This window comes from Homo sapiens, chromosome 8 (assembly GCF_000001405.40).
Source record: "Homo sapiens chromosome 8, GRCh38.p14 Primary Assembly".
Lineage (NCBI taxonomy): Eukaryota > Metazoa > Chordata > Mammalia > Primates > Hominidae > Homo > Homo sapiens.
The window spans coordinates 68,018,091-68,034,659 of record NC_000008.11 but is presented as its reverse complement, the minus strand read 5'-3'; the positions used below and the strand labels follow the sequence as shown (position 1 = coordinate 68,034,659).

At 36.0% G+C, this 16,569-nt stretch overlaps 1 protein-coding gene across 4 annotated transcripts in view; it reads right to left on the bottom strand.

Moving 5' to 3' along the window:
- The window catches only part of PREX2 (phosphatidylinositol-3,4,5-trisphosphate dependent Rac exchange factor 2), a 284,987-nt gene that overhangs the window by 202,373 nt on the left and 66,045 nt on the right, over positions 1 to 16,569 (bottom strand). For all 4 annotated transcript variants that reach the window (NM_024870.4, XM_047422268.1, NM_025170.6 and 1 more), the window contains exons 3-6: positions 14,989 to 15,111; positions 12,520 to 12,624; positions 7,337 to 7,438; positions 4,002 to 4,163 (exon numbers count right to left, since the gene is read on the bottom strand). In NM_024870.4, coding sequence (NP_079146.2) covers positions 4,002 to 4,163; positions 7,337 to 7,438; positions 12,520 to 12,624; positions 14,989 to 15,111 — 492 coding nt within the window. The remainder of the gene's footprint in view (positions 1 to 4,001; positions 4,164 to 7,336; positions 7,439 to 12,519; positions 12,625 to 14,988; positions 15,112 to 16,569) is intronic.

Sequence of the window (16,569 nt, the reverse complement as noted above, 5' to 3'; positions counted from 1 at the left end):
AAGGTAGTAAAGAAATGTCCAATTTCTTTCTGTGTCTCTTTACTTTCTAAAACACAATGCTTATCTTGAATCTCATTTATCCCAACACCTTCATATATTAATAATTCCTTCTCTTATCTTTTATCGTAATAGTGTTTTCCATATTTGAGAGATCAATTCCAAACAAGCGTATCAAGGACTTAAAGCTGAATTAATGACAACGTAATGTTTATTGATACTCCCTTTTCAAAATACTTCAGTATAGCTCCAAAGGCTACAGTTATCATTACAACATAATCAATCAGCCAACACACAGACAGAGCATGATCCTGTTCTATGAAATGAATCAGTGACTCTGATTAAACAGCTAATAAACTTCTCTTCCAAGGCATATTAATCAGTGCTCCACAATTACCTTCAGTAGACTATCTTGTAGAATGTTCTGAATGTTGCATAACTTATATGACCGAGATATAATAAATTATACTAATAAAAGGCATAACTTCAAAAATGAACAAATAAAACATACACTATAGATTTTCTGTGGTGGCAGTTACCACATAAATGCTGACAAAAACCTAATTTCGATAATCAACTTACTTTTAAAACACAAGCAGGAAAACAAACTTAATCCAAAGAATTTGCCAAATTTGTATCTGAGTGGATATAATAGCACGTAGTAAGGAATATAAGCTTTAGAATCAAGCTGCCTGTTTTCAGCTAAATGTTTTCAGCTAAATGTTGTCACCTGTTATTTATAAGAACTCGTGTAGGTTAAATAGCCTTCATTTTTTAAATCTGTTCAATGGAGAGTACAGCATCTCAGCCAACTGTGGAGATGATTATAACTCATTGTATGTGATTATAACGCATACAATGGAGAATCAGTATTTCCCCAAAAAGAAACTGGAGGACTGGCAGTCAAGATCCTCTGCCCTTCCCTTAGCAAATTTACCCAAGCAAGATTAGTTGAATCTTGGATTTTGATCTTCAGTCTTGAGTGTAGTCATATAAAGACGGAAAAAATTATTTGAGCTTATTCACTTTAGCTAGGGCATGGATGAGACTGTCAAATAGTTTCAGCTGCCTAGACACCCTTCTCAGGTCTGACACTGTAGCTTTTGTATTGACTCTGCAAGCTACCCAATCTTTTAAACTAATTTTTCTTTTAGTTTCTGTTGCTTAGAACCATATAACCCTAAGTACTATACTACCTTCAGTAGACAGGTGCATATATTAGACAAACGAGGGAAATTTCTTAAAGCTTTAAAATACCACTTCATATTTGCATAGCATTTTACAGTATTCAAAGCACTTTTACTTATTTCATTTGACTTCTGCAATAATCTGCACTCTGTGTAGGAGAGGTATTATATATCATCCCCAAACAAAGGGTTAGAGTCCAGACTAAAAACCAACTCTGCTCAAAAGCCACCCTTTTCTCACTGTCATATGTTTTGCAAACAAGAAATTTCAATTGCTTGTTTACCTAAATTCAACATTCAGGAATGTAAATAATTTAGTAGAACAAAATACTAGATAGGCACATTGTGCTTAAGAGATTTTATTGTTTAAAACAAAAGCTTTCATTTGATTAACAGTGAAGCAAGTCCCCAGATAATTAAGTGAGAGAATAATCCACCCATAATAGAAACAATGCAAATTCACGGTGTATCAGACTTGGATTCCATCAAATAGAATTTTAGTTACTGAAGGAACAATGTCCTCCCTAAGGAGGCCCTGAAGGTGGTCTGCAGGAGGCTGTGGAAGGAGCTGGAGAGGGAGCTGTTTCCTAGCATAAGCCCAAGACTCCTAACGTCAAAAACTTGTCAGGGAACTCTGCATTCTGTAACTGTCATGCCACCCTACGTCTGAACTTCTCCCTGTCCTAACGCTAAGGTAGCCTCTCCACAGACACACAAAGCTTCTGCAGGCTGAGCAAGGATCACCATCAGCAAGTCAAAGACAGCTCTTTAACTCATTACAGCTTCCTCCCAGGGCCTGAATTCAGCCTGTGTGACTCTGCGTCCTTACAGAGAGTCCTATGAGACTAGCAATTTCTCCTGAACTCCCCAGAAGGGACCAGGCCTGAAAACCAAGTTCCCCCCTCGATGGGGTGGTGGGCTGGGACAGGCAATGGGGTTCTTATCACAAATTGCCAAACCCACTGACTGGGCCCTGCTCCAAGCTGCACTCCCTCAAAGTCCCAAAACTCCCAATCTCTGTATGGCTGTCTTTCGCAATCATTGTCAATTCCTACTCAAGTAGAATTTATGTTGCCACTTCTTCTTAGAACCACTTTCTTGGAACCCAACTTTCATATTATCTCCCCTGTGCCTCCTGGAACTCTGACTGTAGAATTTAAAAACGACAGCTATTTAACTTACCCAAGTTCTTATACCTAACAAGTGGCAAAATTCCTCTCTAATTTCTCTGAATACACAACAGAATTCCTTAACTCCATCCAGTTTTCTCTGTCTCAATGCCCCATTTTCTCTTGCACTCAGAATTTTGTAAAACCACGAAAGCTGGTGAAGTCAGGCACCCTCGGTTGTGGGCTACATATGATATAGTTCCACCTACATTCATTCTTCCTTTGAGTAACTGGTGTATACTGTATAAACAATATCAATAACTTTTAAGGAATCTCTCATTTCTGCAGTACACTCAATTTTTAGGATATACACCAGGATGAAACAAAATTATGACAGATTCCATTTCCCTAGAGTGCTGAAAAAAATCTCTGAAGTTTTTGTTTTAGTAAAAGGCCTGGCACATTTCACTGACAAATTCTGCAATTTAAAGCAAGTTCGGTTTTTCTTCCAGTGTTTGAGTGACAACAGAATTCCAAAAGCAAACTTGAGTCCATTCTTCTCATCACAGCAAGACAACAGCTCCCCAGGAAAGAAATTATCATCATGAATCAACTGTAAAACACACAACCATTTTAGCCGCCTGAAAGAGGCAGCATTCATGCTGAATATGAGGGCACTCCGGACACTTGAAATGGAAAGAGTTGGACAAAGAAGCAGCTAGGTCAACCCCAGTTAGCATTTTAAAAGATTCACAGGAGAGAAGGGACAAACGGAAGAATTCTTTAAGGTCAATGTTTGAGGTTTCTTTGCATATCTGGGTGAACATAATTTTAGGTCCAAATGAAAAATACCATATCAAAGGTAAGAAACAAATTCATCTAAAGCCTTAAAGATAAAAGCAATCCACTTGGTTTTATGTGATACAGTATTTGGCTAGGAGCATTTTCAATCTTTCCTACACTTAAAAATTATCTTAATTGCTTACTTTATAAAAAGAAAAAATTTAACCTAGTCCAAAGCTTATACTCATATAAATTAAGGCAATGTAATGACAGAATTTTAGTTCATTCTTTGCATAGTGGTAAAGTAACATAGGACTCCAACCGCATGAAATAACTGGGAATCAAAGTTACCATTAGCTGAAAACATTTTACAGATTTTGAACTATACTCTTTTTTTGGCATAAAAAAATTTCCTTAGTGACTCAGGAAGCCATAACATTTTCATCTTGAATAAACCTTAAAAATAAGATCATAGCCAGTTCCTTCAGTTTATAAATGAAGAAATCAAAACAAAGAGGTTAAGTGAACACCTAATTTAGAGTCTGAAAGTAATATCACAGCACACCTACTGAACTTTCCTTCCCTTCTTCACTCTCCCAGGATTCAGGCTATGTACTTATGGCCAAAGTTGAGAGAGGAACAGGATCATCATGATGCATAAATGCTAAAATATTAAAGCTTATAGCCCACATAGTATCTATTGGCTCCATCACAAACTTATTGGGTCAAGGTTAACTCAATTAACCACCACCTTAAAGATACTTTAAAATAATGATGAAAGTGAGCACTTTTCAGAATTGACTACAGTCCTCAAGTAATATCTGAGAAAATGACCATTTATGGTTCCATCCAACGCCAGTAATTCTGCACGAGGCCTGCAACATAAAACTATCTTAAGCTCGATTGTCAAGCAAAGTGAATGTACCTCCCAGCCTTCAATGTGAGACTGCCATTCCTCTAAAACTTCTAACTTCTCCATCTGTCTCTTGGCCTCGTTTATGTTGGAACAGACAGCTTTCATGGCTTGGAGGGCTTCCATCACTGCTGCATAGTCACTGTGTTTCCGTGGAGTCCGCTTCAGCAACTCCTGTTTATACACAAAAAAACAAATCGCCCTTTGATCTTCAGCTTTCTGGTACAGCAGGTTCAGACTGACCAGGAAATGAAAACTGCAAAGATCATGAGAGCCACTTCCATAAGTGACATCACAAATTCCTCTAAGATCAAAAATAAAAGTTTGAATCAATGAGTAAGTATAACCCAAATGCACATTTTTGCAGTCACTTTAATTTTTCCTCAAACTTACTTTGTTTTTAAAAATTAAGTTAGGTTCCTCCTTTCGAATGGTCAAATATCTTACTGGGAGGATAAATTTTTATGTTTTTAATAATTTGACTTTTGTTCTAACAGAAGCACATCTTTATATGTTAATTTCATTTTTCTAGGGTCTTTAACAGAATAACAAATCTTTAAGTATGTCATAATTTCAAAAATAATTTAGAAATCCTATTTTCTAATATTTTTGAGAAACTATAAAACTATGTCATAAACAAAGTAAAATTTTAAAATAATGTCTTATACTACAACAAGGTAATTTAAAACTTCTACAATACTCCATCATTAAAGGAGCTATTTATGCTGTTTTCCCCAATTACTCAGGCTTATTCTATGTGACAAATGAACTGCCATATACCCCTCAATAGCTTCCTTTTTTGTTTTTGGTATTTAGGGGATTTGGAGGGTCTTTTTATTTATATTTTTCCCATTCATCAAAACTAGAATAATCCTTAATCTCTTAAACATATTGAAAGCCCTTGTTAGTTGTTTAAAAGCACAAAATTAAACATCTTCACCCACTGTCTAGACAGTTGGGACCACATTGCTTTTTAATTAGTCATGTGTTTCCTTACTATGGTTGCCATCATCACGTAACTAACACAATTACAGAAATCCTGAGGCAAGTCTTGAAAAGAATTTTCTAAATTCTCAACAAACAGTGGGAAAATATGCAGTTGTTATATTCTTTTGAGTTCTGTTATTGTTGAAAACTCTGCCATAAACTCGGACCCTAAATTCATTATGTTCACACCTTGTTCTGCAGAGCTAACACCAGAGGAATACATATTATATCACTCCCAAGACAAGGTTTAAAAGTTATGCTGGATCACAAATCCATAAGTGAGACATGCAGGCTTCTCCAGAAACTCTAAAGAGTAGAGGCACCACAGGTGCCTCTATGTCAAGTGGTCAAGTCAGTCTGCAGGCCATAATTTGGAGTCCAATTATCTAAGGAGTTGAATATGAATTTACATAATGTGAAATAGTGAGAGAAAACCATCACTCACAATCCCTTGGCCATTACTTGCTAAGAACCCAATGTTGATTGACCAACTCAATAATTTCAAGCTCCACAAATAACATCAATGTATCTTTTCCTAACACTACAACCTAATCCATATAATATCTTTTCTGAATAAACAAAACCACCCTAAATCAAAGAAAATCCCAGCAGAATTTTTCAGCTGATGGTACAACACAGACAAATATCAATGCCAATGTATCTACTACATGAGTTAACAGTTTTTTCATGTTGCTTTGTGGAGATAATCTACCAGAAAACGGAAAGGAGGTCATCCATCCACTGCTTGAAGGGGCTCTAAACTGACCTTCTGGCTAAGAAAGGATAAATCCACGATGCTTTCTTTTGGGAGGTCAGTTCAAATACCTGAGTTCATCCCTAATCAGAAATGAGTAATTTAGAATAACCACTTTGTCATGATGTAACCTTTTAATCTCCCTATCCCTTCTTAAATCCCCTGGGATTCCAAAATCAGGGTCAGGAATAACTGCAGTTATGAGTACACATGCAAACTGAGTCAAGTCAGAGGTCTGTAGGGATTCTCAGAAAAAAAGGAGACACATTTGCAACAATACTCCCTCTGCAGAGCTGGGGACTCCTGTGTCAGCCTCTCTGTGGCTTTTTATGGCTTAAGCAAGCAATGCTAGACTCTTATTTCTTTAATAAGGAACAAATATTTTCAAATAAAATTTACGCAGATACCCAATTTATGGAATTGACAAGAGTTGTATTAAACTATATTTTTAGTTCAAATTCAACATTTATTTCTTAAAAAGCAAATCAATAAAAATACTAGTTAATATGCCTCTAGTATTTCTGAGTATTTTGTGAAGTTTAGATGCCAAGTAGTAATTTATATATTAAAATAAGTCGGAATCAAATAGATATGAATAATAATGGCTAATACTTATAAAGCACAGACTATGCTAATTGATTTATATAAAATAGTTAAATTAATCATTATCATTATATAATCCTATATATATGCATATATATATATATGTATTCAGAATACACATGCATACATACATACACACATTCCCATAGGTCTGTGCTATAAATTCATCATCATCATAATCATCATCTCTATTTCATAAATGAAAAACCAAGGCATTAAGAGGTTCGATTACATGCCCTGTAAGCACAATACTTGGGATTTAAACTCAGAGTTCATGTGCTTAACCACTATCCCAGGCTGCCCATCCTGATGTTATGGTTCCAAAAAACGCAGTTTCAAAAATTGCCATCTTGACCTATTCATAGGTCCCTTGCAGTAAGGGCAGTAGTTGGCACCTTACAGTGTATTTTTCATAATAAAAATTGTGGTTACTATAATGAGGCAACAAACCTACAACCATTAGTAGGATGTTTTACATCTTCTAAAGGCAATGTTTTCTTAGCAATCTCATTCCACATTCTATCATTTATTGTCTCATGTGACCCACACTATTCCCTTGAATAATAATTTTAAATCCTAGTTATGCAATTATATAATTTTGACCTTAATTTCATTAGCATCACAAAGTCATCAAAGTTTAAGGAAATCAAAAATATACCAGCAGTGGATTTATTTAAAATAAAAGGCTCTGCAAAATGCTATATAAACTAGTCATAATGAACTTAATGGGATCTATCTTGAAGCTAATGCATTTCCTCTAAATGAAACTTAAACAAGTATGTTTTATACAAAGAGCACCAAAAGCTCTTTCAGTGGCTTTTCCACTGAACATCTGTTTCCTACACTATATATAAATTTGTGACAAAATGGCCACTTTTTTCCAATACTTATGGTCTACGCTTCCTTTAGAATATCAGACTCATTAAAATAATTTTTTAAAAAGATCATCAGCAAAATATGTAGATACAAGAAAATGGCTACAATGAGGTAGCACATAAAATACCTTCAAAATAAGAGGGTACTTGCATATTCTTTGTATTGGTGTTACTAAATATCCTTCCAAGGGAACATCTGTGTTCTTCCGTCCTCCAAGCAGCATGCAGTTCTGGGGTGAAAATAATCAAAATTAATTACATCTTTAATAATCTCACGCTGTGAAACTTTCTTCCACCATAAAATGCTAAAAACTAGTGAAAGCATATGTCTTCATATACTTTCTTTCTCTAAGAAGAGCATATTCAGTCACAAACACTCACAGAGAGACAAAGAGAAACACTAGTTACAGAACTGTGTTTTGAATCTGTATCTTAAAAATTAATGCACCTATATTCTCCTGAGTATGAAGTCTGAGGAAAAAGAGATGGGAAAGAGATGGAGAGATGAATGAATGGATGGATTAATGGATGGATAAGTGGTGGATAAACAGATGGTTGACACATAAATAGATAGATTGATTTTGCTTATAAAGAAAGGTATATTATGTTGTAGAAGGGCAAGTATCAAGACAGTTGGGTTCTAACTCAGGCTCTGCAACTGACAAGTGATACAACTTGGGTTGATTTCAGAATTCTAGTTTTCCTCTCCATAAATAGGACAGGTTTTAAGCAAGTGATCTCTGAGTCGCTTTTTTGCTATCACACTGCACCAGACACTGGAAAGCCAGTGTCAGAGAAGGAGGTCAGATAGGATTTCCACAGAGGCAAGATGAATGAGGAAATCTCAAAATCAGGAATCAGAGTGGGGTGAAACTGAAGCAGCTTTCATTGATGATAAAGTGGTGGTCAAGAGAAAACTGACTCTGATAAAAAAAAAGCCTTTACCTTCATAAACAACATGCAATGAAACAGACTTGAAACTTGCCCAAACCTTCTTTCTGCAGTGCCTACAACAGACAAACTATTTAATAAATATCTAACAGAGGGAAGAGAGAGCCCCTCAAATATCAAACTAAGTTAGCAACTTTCATACTACAATTTTTAAAATACTGTTTCAGGTTCACTGAGAGGAGAGGCTGAGTGTTGATCAGTAAAGGATGCAAAAGGAAGACTGATAGTAGCAGAACAATTTTCTGCTGTCCTGAGCAACTGCATATCAGCCTCAATATGTGTGTCCAAGTCAGCAAAGTCAGCAAAATCAGCACTCTGAATGTAACTTCACCCAGACACCTCAGAAAGCATAGCAGCAAATGCATGCTCTTACGCAAGCATGCTCTTTGGGGGTTTCACTCCCTACTGCAATCGGGTTATCAAAATATTCTTTCAAACTATATATGGTATTTTCCCCCAGAGGAATCCTATGAAACACAACTATCTACATCTCATTATATTTCCAGTGATATTTCCATTCCAGTATGTTAGCATCTCTGTAAAGCAGCCATCCCCTCACCTACCTCTGGACTGAAGTGTCCTAAAATCACTCAGGGCTGTCTAGCCCACTTTTATTGCCTTGTGTATTAGTACTGTATAGATTGCGAACTCAATTCATAATACCACAGGTTGGCTACCACTTTAGACTGGCTGACGAGAGCCAGCTCCTTATACATACATGAAGAATATGTTTCCTGACCAGGCACAGTGGCTCACACCTGTAGTCTCAGCACTTTGGGAGGCTGAGGTAAGAGGATCGCTTGAGCCCAGGAGATTGTAGAAAAATGAAAGCACATCAGGAACCAAGAGGAAACATTAAGCTTACCAATATGTGTGTAACTTGGGGTCACTGAAGAAGAAAACAAAGGGTCAGATAAATATTTCTAAAATAATGGCTAAAAACTTCCCAGATTTGATGAAAAATTAATCTATAGATTCAAACAGCTCAACTATAAATAAGAAATGTACAATCATCCCCACACATAAACACATCATTGAACTACTGAAAGAAAAACACAAAGAGAAAATCTAGAAAGCAGCAAAAAAGAGAAAAATGACCCATCATATAAAGTATAACAACCATACAATTATAGCAGATGCCTTATCATCAGAAACAATGGAAGCCATAAGGTAGTAGAATGACATATTCAAAGCGCTGACTGAGAAAAAAATCTACCAGTCAAAAAGTTCTATGTCCAAGTAAAACTATCCTTCAAAAATGAAGGCAAAATAAAGACATTCGCAGATTTAAAAAAAATAAAAAAAAAGACTGAGCAAAGTTATTGCTAGTAGAACTGACTTACAAGAAGAAGAAGTACTAAGGGCTGAAAAACCTAATATCAGAGTCAAATACACAGGAAGAAATAAGAGCACCAGAGATGGTAAATGTGTACATAACTATAAAAGACTGTAGAAAAATATAGAAAGCAATAATTGTAACACTGTGTTGTGAAGTTTATAACATATATAATGTAATATATATGGCAATAATAGCACAGTAGAGGAGAGATGAAATGGAACATTTTCCATTTCTACTCAGGAAATATTATAGCCAAATGTCCCCTACTTTTAACTGGAATTAGGTCAGCATTAACCTAATATGGATTTGATATGTTAAGATGCATATTGTAGTTCCTAGAGCAATCACCAAAAACACTCCTAATGATATAGTTTAAAAATTGAGAGGAATCAAAATGGTACATAAAAAATGCTTGATTGACACAAAAGTAGGTGGTAAAACAGGAACAGAGAAACAAACAAAAAAGACATGTAGGAAAAAGTAATAAAATGGCACATGTAAATACCATCATATCAATAATTACATTAAAAACAAACAAACTGAGGACCCCAGAGACTGTCAGACTGGACAAAAAGTAGACCCAACAATATGCCATCTTCTAGAGACATTTTAAAGATCATAAATAGCTTGTAAGTAAAATGACAGAAAAAGATATACAAATAGTAAGAGAGCTATCATAGCTATAATATTATTAGGAAAAATAGACTTTAACAAAAGAAATGCCACAAGGACAAAGAAGACCATTTCATGATGATAAACAGAAATATGAATCTAACAATTATGAATGCGTGCATATCTAACAGAGTCCCAAAATACAGCAAACAAAAATGGACAGAGTTAAAGGGTAAAATAGATAATTTAATTATACATGGAGATTTCAATATCTCATTCTCAATAATTGAATCATTAAACAATATGAATAATATGAATAGTAATTCATAGCATTGTCAATGCATGTAATTCATAGCATTGTCAATATATATGAATATTATTCACATCATATCATATGAACTAGAAATATAATAAGTTACTAAACATAAGAAAGAACATCTACTAAAAAAATCAATAGCAAACATCATACTTAATGCGGAAGGACTAAATGTTTTCCTACTGAGATCAGAAACACGGCAGGTGTGCCCACTCTTACCACTTTTATTCAACACTATACTGAAGGTTCTAGCCAGTGCAATAAGGCAAGAAAAAAAATAAGTTATCCACAATGGAAAAGAAGAAGTAAAATCATCTTTATTATCAGATAATTGATCCTATATGCAAAATACCCTAAGAAGCTACAAAAGAACTACTTACCAAATACATAAATTTAGATCACAGGACACAAGATCAATAAACAAAAGCCAGTTAAATTTCCATATATTAGCAATGAACAATTTTAAAATGCCATAAGATAATTTCAATCACAATAGCATCAAAAGTGGGAAAACAAAGGAATAAAAAGTAAGTACAAGACCTGAATACAGATTTCTTATATATGACCAAAAAAACACGGTCATAACAGAGAAAAATGTAATAAATTAGACTTCATCAAAATTTAAAACTTCTGATTTTAAAAGATGATACTTTAAAAATGAACAGACAAACAACACTGAGAGGAAATATTTGCATATTGTATACCTGATATAGGACTTATATCTGAAATAACAAACATTTACAGCTCAATATACAATAAACATCCCAATTTTTAAATGGGTAAAAGATTTGAATAAACATTTCACTAAAGGAGACATGAAGAGTTAATAAGCACATGAAAGCATGCTTAATGTAATTAGTCACTGGCAAAATACAAATTTAAACCACCATGAGATAGCACTACACACCCACTAGCATGGCTATAATCAGAAAAACTGAAAATGCCAAGTGTTGGCAAAGATATAGAGAAACTGGAATCCTCATGCATTGCCAGTAAATATGGCACAGCCACAGTGACAAATAGTTTGGCAGTTTCTTAATTAGTTAAATATGAGCTTATCATACAACACAGGCATCAATTCCACGTTTAATGTCTACCCAAAAGAATAAAAACATTAGGTCCATTCAAAGACTTGAACATAAATGCTGATAACAGCATTATTTATAGGAGCCCAAACTGGAACCAGACCCAATTTTCACTAACTGGCAAATAGATAAACAAAATACAGCATATCCATACAATGGAACAGTATTTTGCAATTAAAATGAAAGAAAATGGATACATTCTATAGCAAGAATGAACTTCGAAAACATTTTACTAAGTTAAAGAAGTCAGGCACAAAAGATTGCATTGTATGAGTCCACTTCTATAAAATATCCAGAAAAGGCAATCTATAGAGATGAAAACAAATCAGTGTATGCCTGGTGCTAACGGTGGGTACAGAGATAGGCTGTAAAGGGACATGAAGGTCTTTCTGAGGTGACAAAAATGATCTAAAAATGAATTTGGGGGATGGCTGTGCAACTCCACACTCTGCTAAATATCACTGAATCGCACAATTATAATCTGCTCCTCACTAGCGATTAGTTTGCCCGTGACAGCCAAAATATGCATTTGTTTCTGCTAACCTAAAGAAATTAAACACATATTCTTGTTGTTTTTATGAAAACAAAATAAGAAATGTATGTAGGAGAAATGTTAAATTTTACACTTATTTTCTACCATATCCACGATTTTCTTCCTTCCTGTTACTGCCCTACTTACAGCTCTGTCAGCAGAAGTAAAGGACACCCTAGGGAACTGGGGCTATAAAGCAGTGATGAACTCTGGCAGAAGCTCCTCTCTCGCTAGGAACCTGTGGGGTCTCACAGATAATTCATAATCAACCACGAGGGGGCATTAGCAGTACTTCCCCAAACACAAGCTGATCCCAGCTCTCACTTTTATTTTCATCAAAGGACTCTTGCTTCCTCGCCTGGGGATGCTAACAGAGGTATCCCACAGATTTTTACTCCATATTGATGCTATTCCTTGGCTCTCACTGGATCTAGCAACACATATCAACATACAGTAACACATAAATATACACTTACCAAAAGAAATGTCCGGATTGTTCTTATTTTGTTGAGTTCAAGAAGTAATTTTTGTGCCTTCTCATGGTTACTACAATATTCATCATAGATACGAAACTTGTCTTTCTGTGAATTCATGTAAGAATAAATTAGTCATTTTATTCACCATTCTGCAATTTTAACCTATGTGATATGCTTAAAGAAACTTCACTGAGTGTTTACTACGTTTTAAGAGCTATACTGCGTGTATACAGCTATATATAAATTTTGTTTATTTTCCCTGGCCCATGAAGAACAGCCTAAAAAGGGAGATAGACGTATATCAGTTATACTCCATTGTGATGAATTCAAGTAGACAAATGAACCAAAGGGTGGCAAAGCACAGAAAAGAGAGGGCTGAGCTTTGCCATGAGGATTCAGTTACAGCTTAAAAAGAGGAAGAAATTACATACATATTCTTGCTGTTATTTATGAAAACTGAATAAGGAATGTATGTAGAAGAAAGATCAATCAATCTGAGCAAGGTCCAGGTATATGAATCCATGATTCCTAGGCAGGGAGACGGAATAAAGTCATTTAGATGAAGGCAAAAGGAAGTGCCAGATCATATAGAAATAGAGAAACACAGGACCCTGCAGTTCATATACACCAGTCTAGACAGTTGTGCTTAAGAGAGACACTGACAACCTGAAGAATATCTAGCAACAAGCAACTAAGAGAATGAGAGACCCTGAGGACACCACATCTGAGAGGTTGTTTCAGAGAGTCATATTTGTAGGTATAGAAAAGTCAGGAAATCATGAATACTTTCAAACAGCGTTATGTTGTAAAGGACTGACAGTCCTATGTAGCTCCAAATATAAAACTAGGATCTTTAGGTGATGTCGCAAGGCAGTGGTGGATGTCGCAAGGGCAGTGATGGGCAGATTTGGGATCAACACAGAGATTTTCTAACAGTTAGAGCTGTCACTAAAGTAGGAACAAAATAAACAGCCTTCATAGATAAATAGGAGATATTCTTTTAAAACAAGAGGATTTGTACCATCATGATCTCTAAGCTCCCTTCTATTTGTAAGATTTTCTCAAAGTGCCTTATCACCAAAAGAGTACCAATAAAAGAAAGACACAAAAAATTTACTGATCAAATGTTAGAACAAAAGTGCGCCCATTGAAATTTTGAAGGCATGCATTTAGAAACATTAAGTGCTACTTTATATAACCAGCAGAAAATGTATTGAATCACTTATCTCAAGAAATGATATGAGCCAGAAAAAAAATAAACTTCAGAAATAGTTTAGCTAAATTCAGGGATGACAGATTCATAAGGTGTTACTAAGGAAATGGATGTCAGGGTGCAAGATTCCCAGGCACAGCCCTGGACTGAGATAGCAACTACTCCAGCTGGCAGAAGATTCTGATCCTTTTGATTCTTTCGTGAAATAAAGCAGGCTTAAGTGAGTGGACACAAACACCCGTGGCTTCCAGCTGTGCCCAAGAAAAACACAGCTTGATCTTCCTATACCCAATGAGACTCTCCTTTTAATATAATTATTTTTTGAAATATTTTCTGACTATAAAAAGAACACAGAGTCTGCTCACTACATAAAGACAGATTTTGAAACTACTATCAAAACCTTTCTAAAAGACTAGATGGAAAATTAAAAATATACAAAATTTTATTTCTATCACTAAATACGCTTACACATTTTTAAACAAAACATTAATTGTCTAGCATTTTGATAAATACATGGATTCATACTGGTATTCTCAAAATTAGCATCAGCGTAACGGTATACGTAGCAGCATACTTTTTTTTTTTTTTTTTTTTGGTGTGAATGCCCTTTAGTTCTGAAAACAATTTTCATTACACAGTTGTCTTTTTATTTTGCAAATTAATTGCATAAATAATTTCGGGCATCATTTATAAAGAGATGAAAATGATCATACAGGCACAGGATGTGTAATTTGAAACAACTGAGTACTGGCTGGTTATTGCATCTGCACTGCTCAGTACAATCTTCTGAGAAACCATCCTTGGGGAAAATTCCTGCTACTGGGTTTATTCAACTCCAGGTTTGTCACAAGTTGATTAACAAGGGAACATTCTGACTAATAAAAGGCTCATCGTGCCATTATAGGAATGAGGATTTTCTGTCTCAAAAGAAAAATGCTCTATGTTTGAGAGAAACATAAAAATTCATTCATTATGAACAGCCTGAATATTCATTAGAATTCAAAGCTACAGAGGATGCGAAGAACTAACTTGTCGGGGAAAAGAAAAGGCTGTTTATTCTTCAGTAAAATGGATGATGTGAGGCACTCTCCCCTTTTCTGGCTCTAAGTGGAAGATCTCATTGGCCTTAAAAGACCTTAAACTTTTGGTGTCAGATTTTACTTCTAATACTGAATTCACACATACCACTATGCCAAGAGCTAAATCTCAAAATCTAGGGGAAAAGAACTTTTAAAATAAAAAGAAATTTATCCTACAAAGTGAAGAAAGCAGGTTCCCACTTCTTGTTGAGCATTAGGTTCGGGGTGTAAGCATTCTTCCACGACTTTTAAGAATTCTTTATGTACTGCAAGGATGTCTTCAATGTTTGAGAACAACATCTGTAAATAAACAAATGTGTAAGTAAGCTCAGTAGTGAAGCAATTTTTTTAAGTCTATGATAGCATAGTATTCTCTCTCCAACCTGAAAACCATACATCCATGCCTTCCTCCCACCTTGCCGACAGAGCCTCAATTTTGTCTGGACTTCCCCTTCACGCCGCCGACACAACTCTGGGAACCAGAAGCCCATGGCTGGCTCTCAGGGCAAGGCCTCGGTTGCCCAACCCAAGCCAGGTATCCCACTCCCTTCTCAAAGCTGGGCTGCATGGAAACCAGCAGAGTTGCTGGCAGGCTTTTCTGGAAAGGGCATCTATGCTCCTAAGAAGGGCATACCAGAACGGACAGTCCTCTTTTCCCTCTGGAAGGTGCCACATGTAGAAGTAAAAGCTGGGACAGCTCTGCAGCTACAGGAAGAGCCAGCTTGAGCACAAAGCTGATAACCTGGATGGCAGTGATTAGCTGGAGAGGATGTAGCGACCTTGCTGGCCTCTCTGGGTCACAGGTGCTAAACCTTCTCCTCTGTCTGGAGTCCCTGATATGTGAGCCAAAGTGTCTTCAATTCAATTTCAGTAAGAGGATTCTTTAGCTTACAACCAAAAGCAAGCTAACTAAAATACTCTCCTGGGAGGAAAATTTTAAAGTTAGTTATTTTACTCATGGGGAAATAGAGTCAGAAGAACCTTTAAAAATCCTTAGAATGTTTTATATTTCCAGCAAAATAAAACAGTAAGTTAGCATCATAAATATCAGGAATAGTACATACAATTTAAATGACTAATCATTATAGTATAATTAATTTTCATTTACCATCCTTTTTTTTCAAGACTGTTCACAGTTTTCCTTCCTTTCAGTTTAAAAGAAACGATTATATGTCTGTTTCTGAATTAAGGATATTATGTGGAGTGAACCATTGAAATATTTGGTTCTTCAGTGATCACAGAGACTGGAAGTCACGTTTGCCCACACCCTGCCTTCCTGAGCCACCTCTAACAATCCTCTTATACGGCTCAGCTCCCTCCTTCTCCAAAACATTGAGGTTCTTAGCCTCCAATTCATTTTATTTATTTATTTATTTATTTTGAGACAGAGTCTCACTCCTGTTGCCCAGGCTGGAGTGCAATGGCGCCATCTCAGCTCACCAACACCTCTGCTTCCTGGGTTCAAGCAATTCTCCTGCCTCAGCCTCGAGAGTAGCTAGGATTACACGCATGTGCTACCATGGCTGGCTAATTTTGTATTTTTAGTAGAGACGGGGTTTCTCCATGTTGGTCAGGCTGGTCTCGAACTCCTGACCTTGGGTGATCCTCCCACCTCGGCCTCCCAAAGTGCTGGGATTACAGGCATAAGCCACCACACCTCCAATTTATTTTTCTTCCTCTGTTCAAATGTTCCCAAGGCCTTGGTTGAAAAAAAAAACAACTCTATGACTTCTCTGCCATTCTCTTAATCTTCCATCT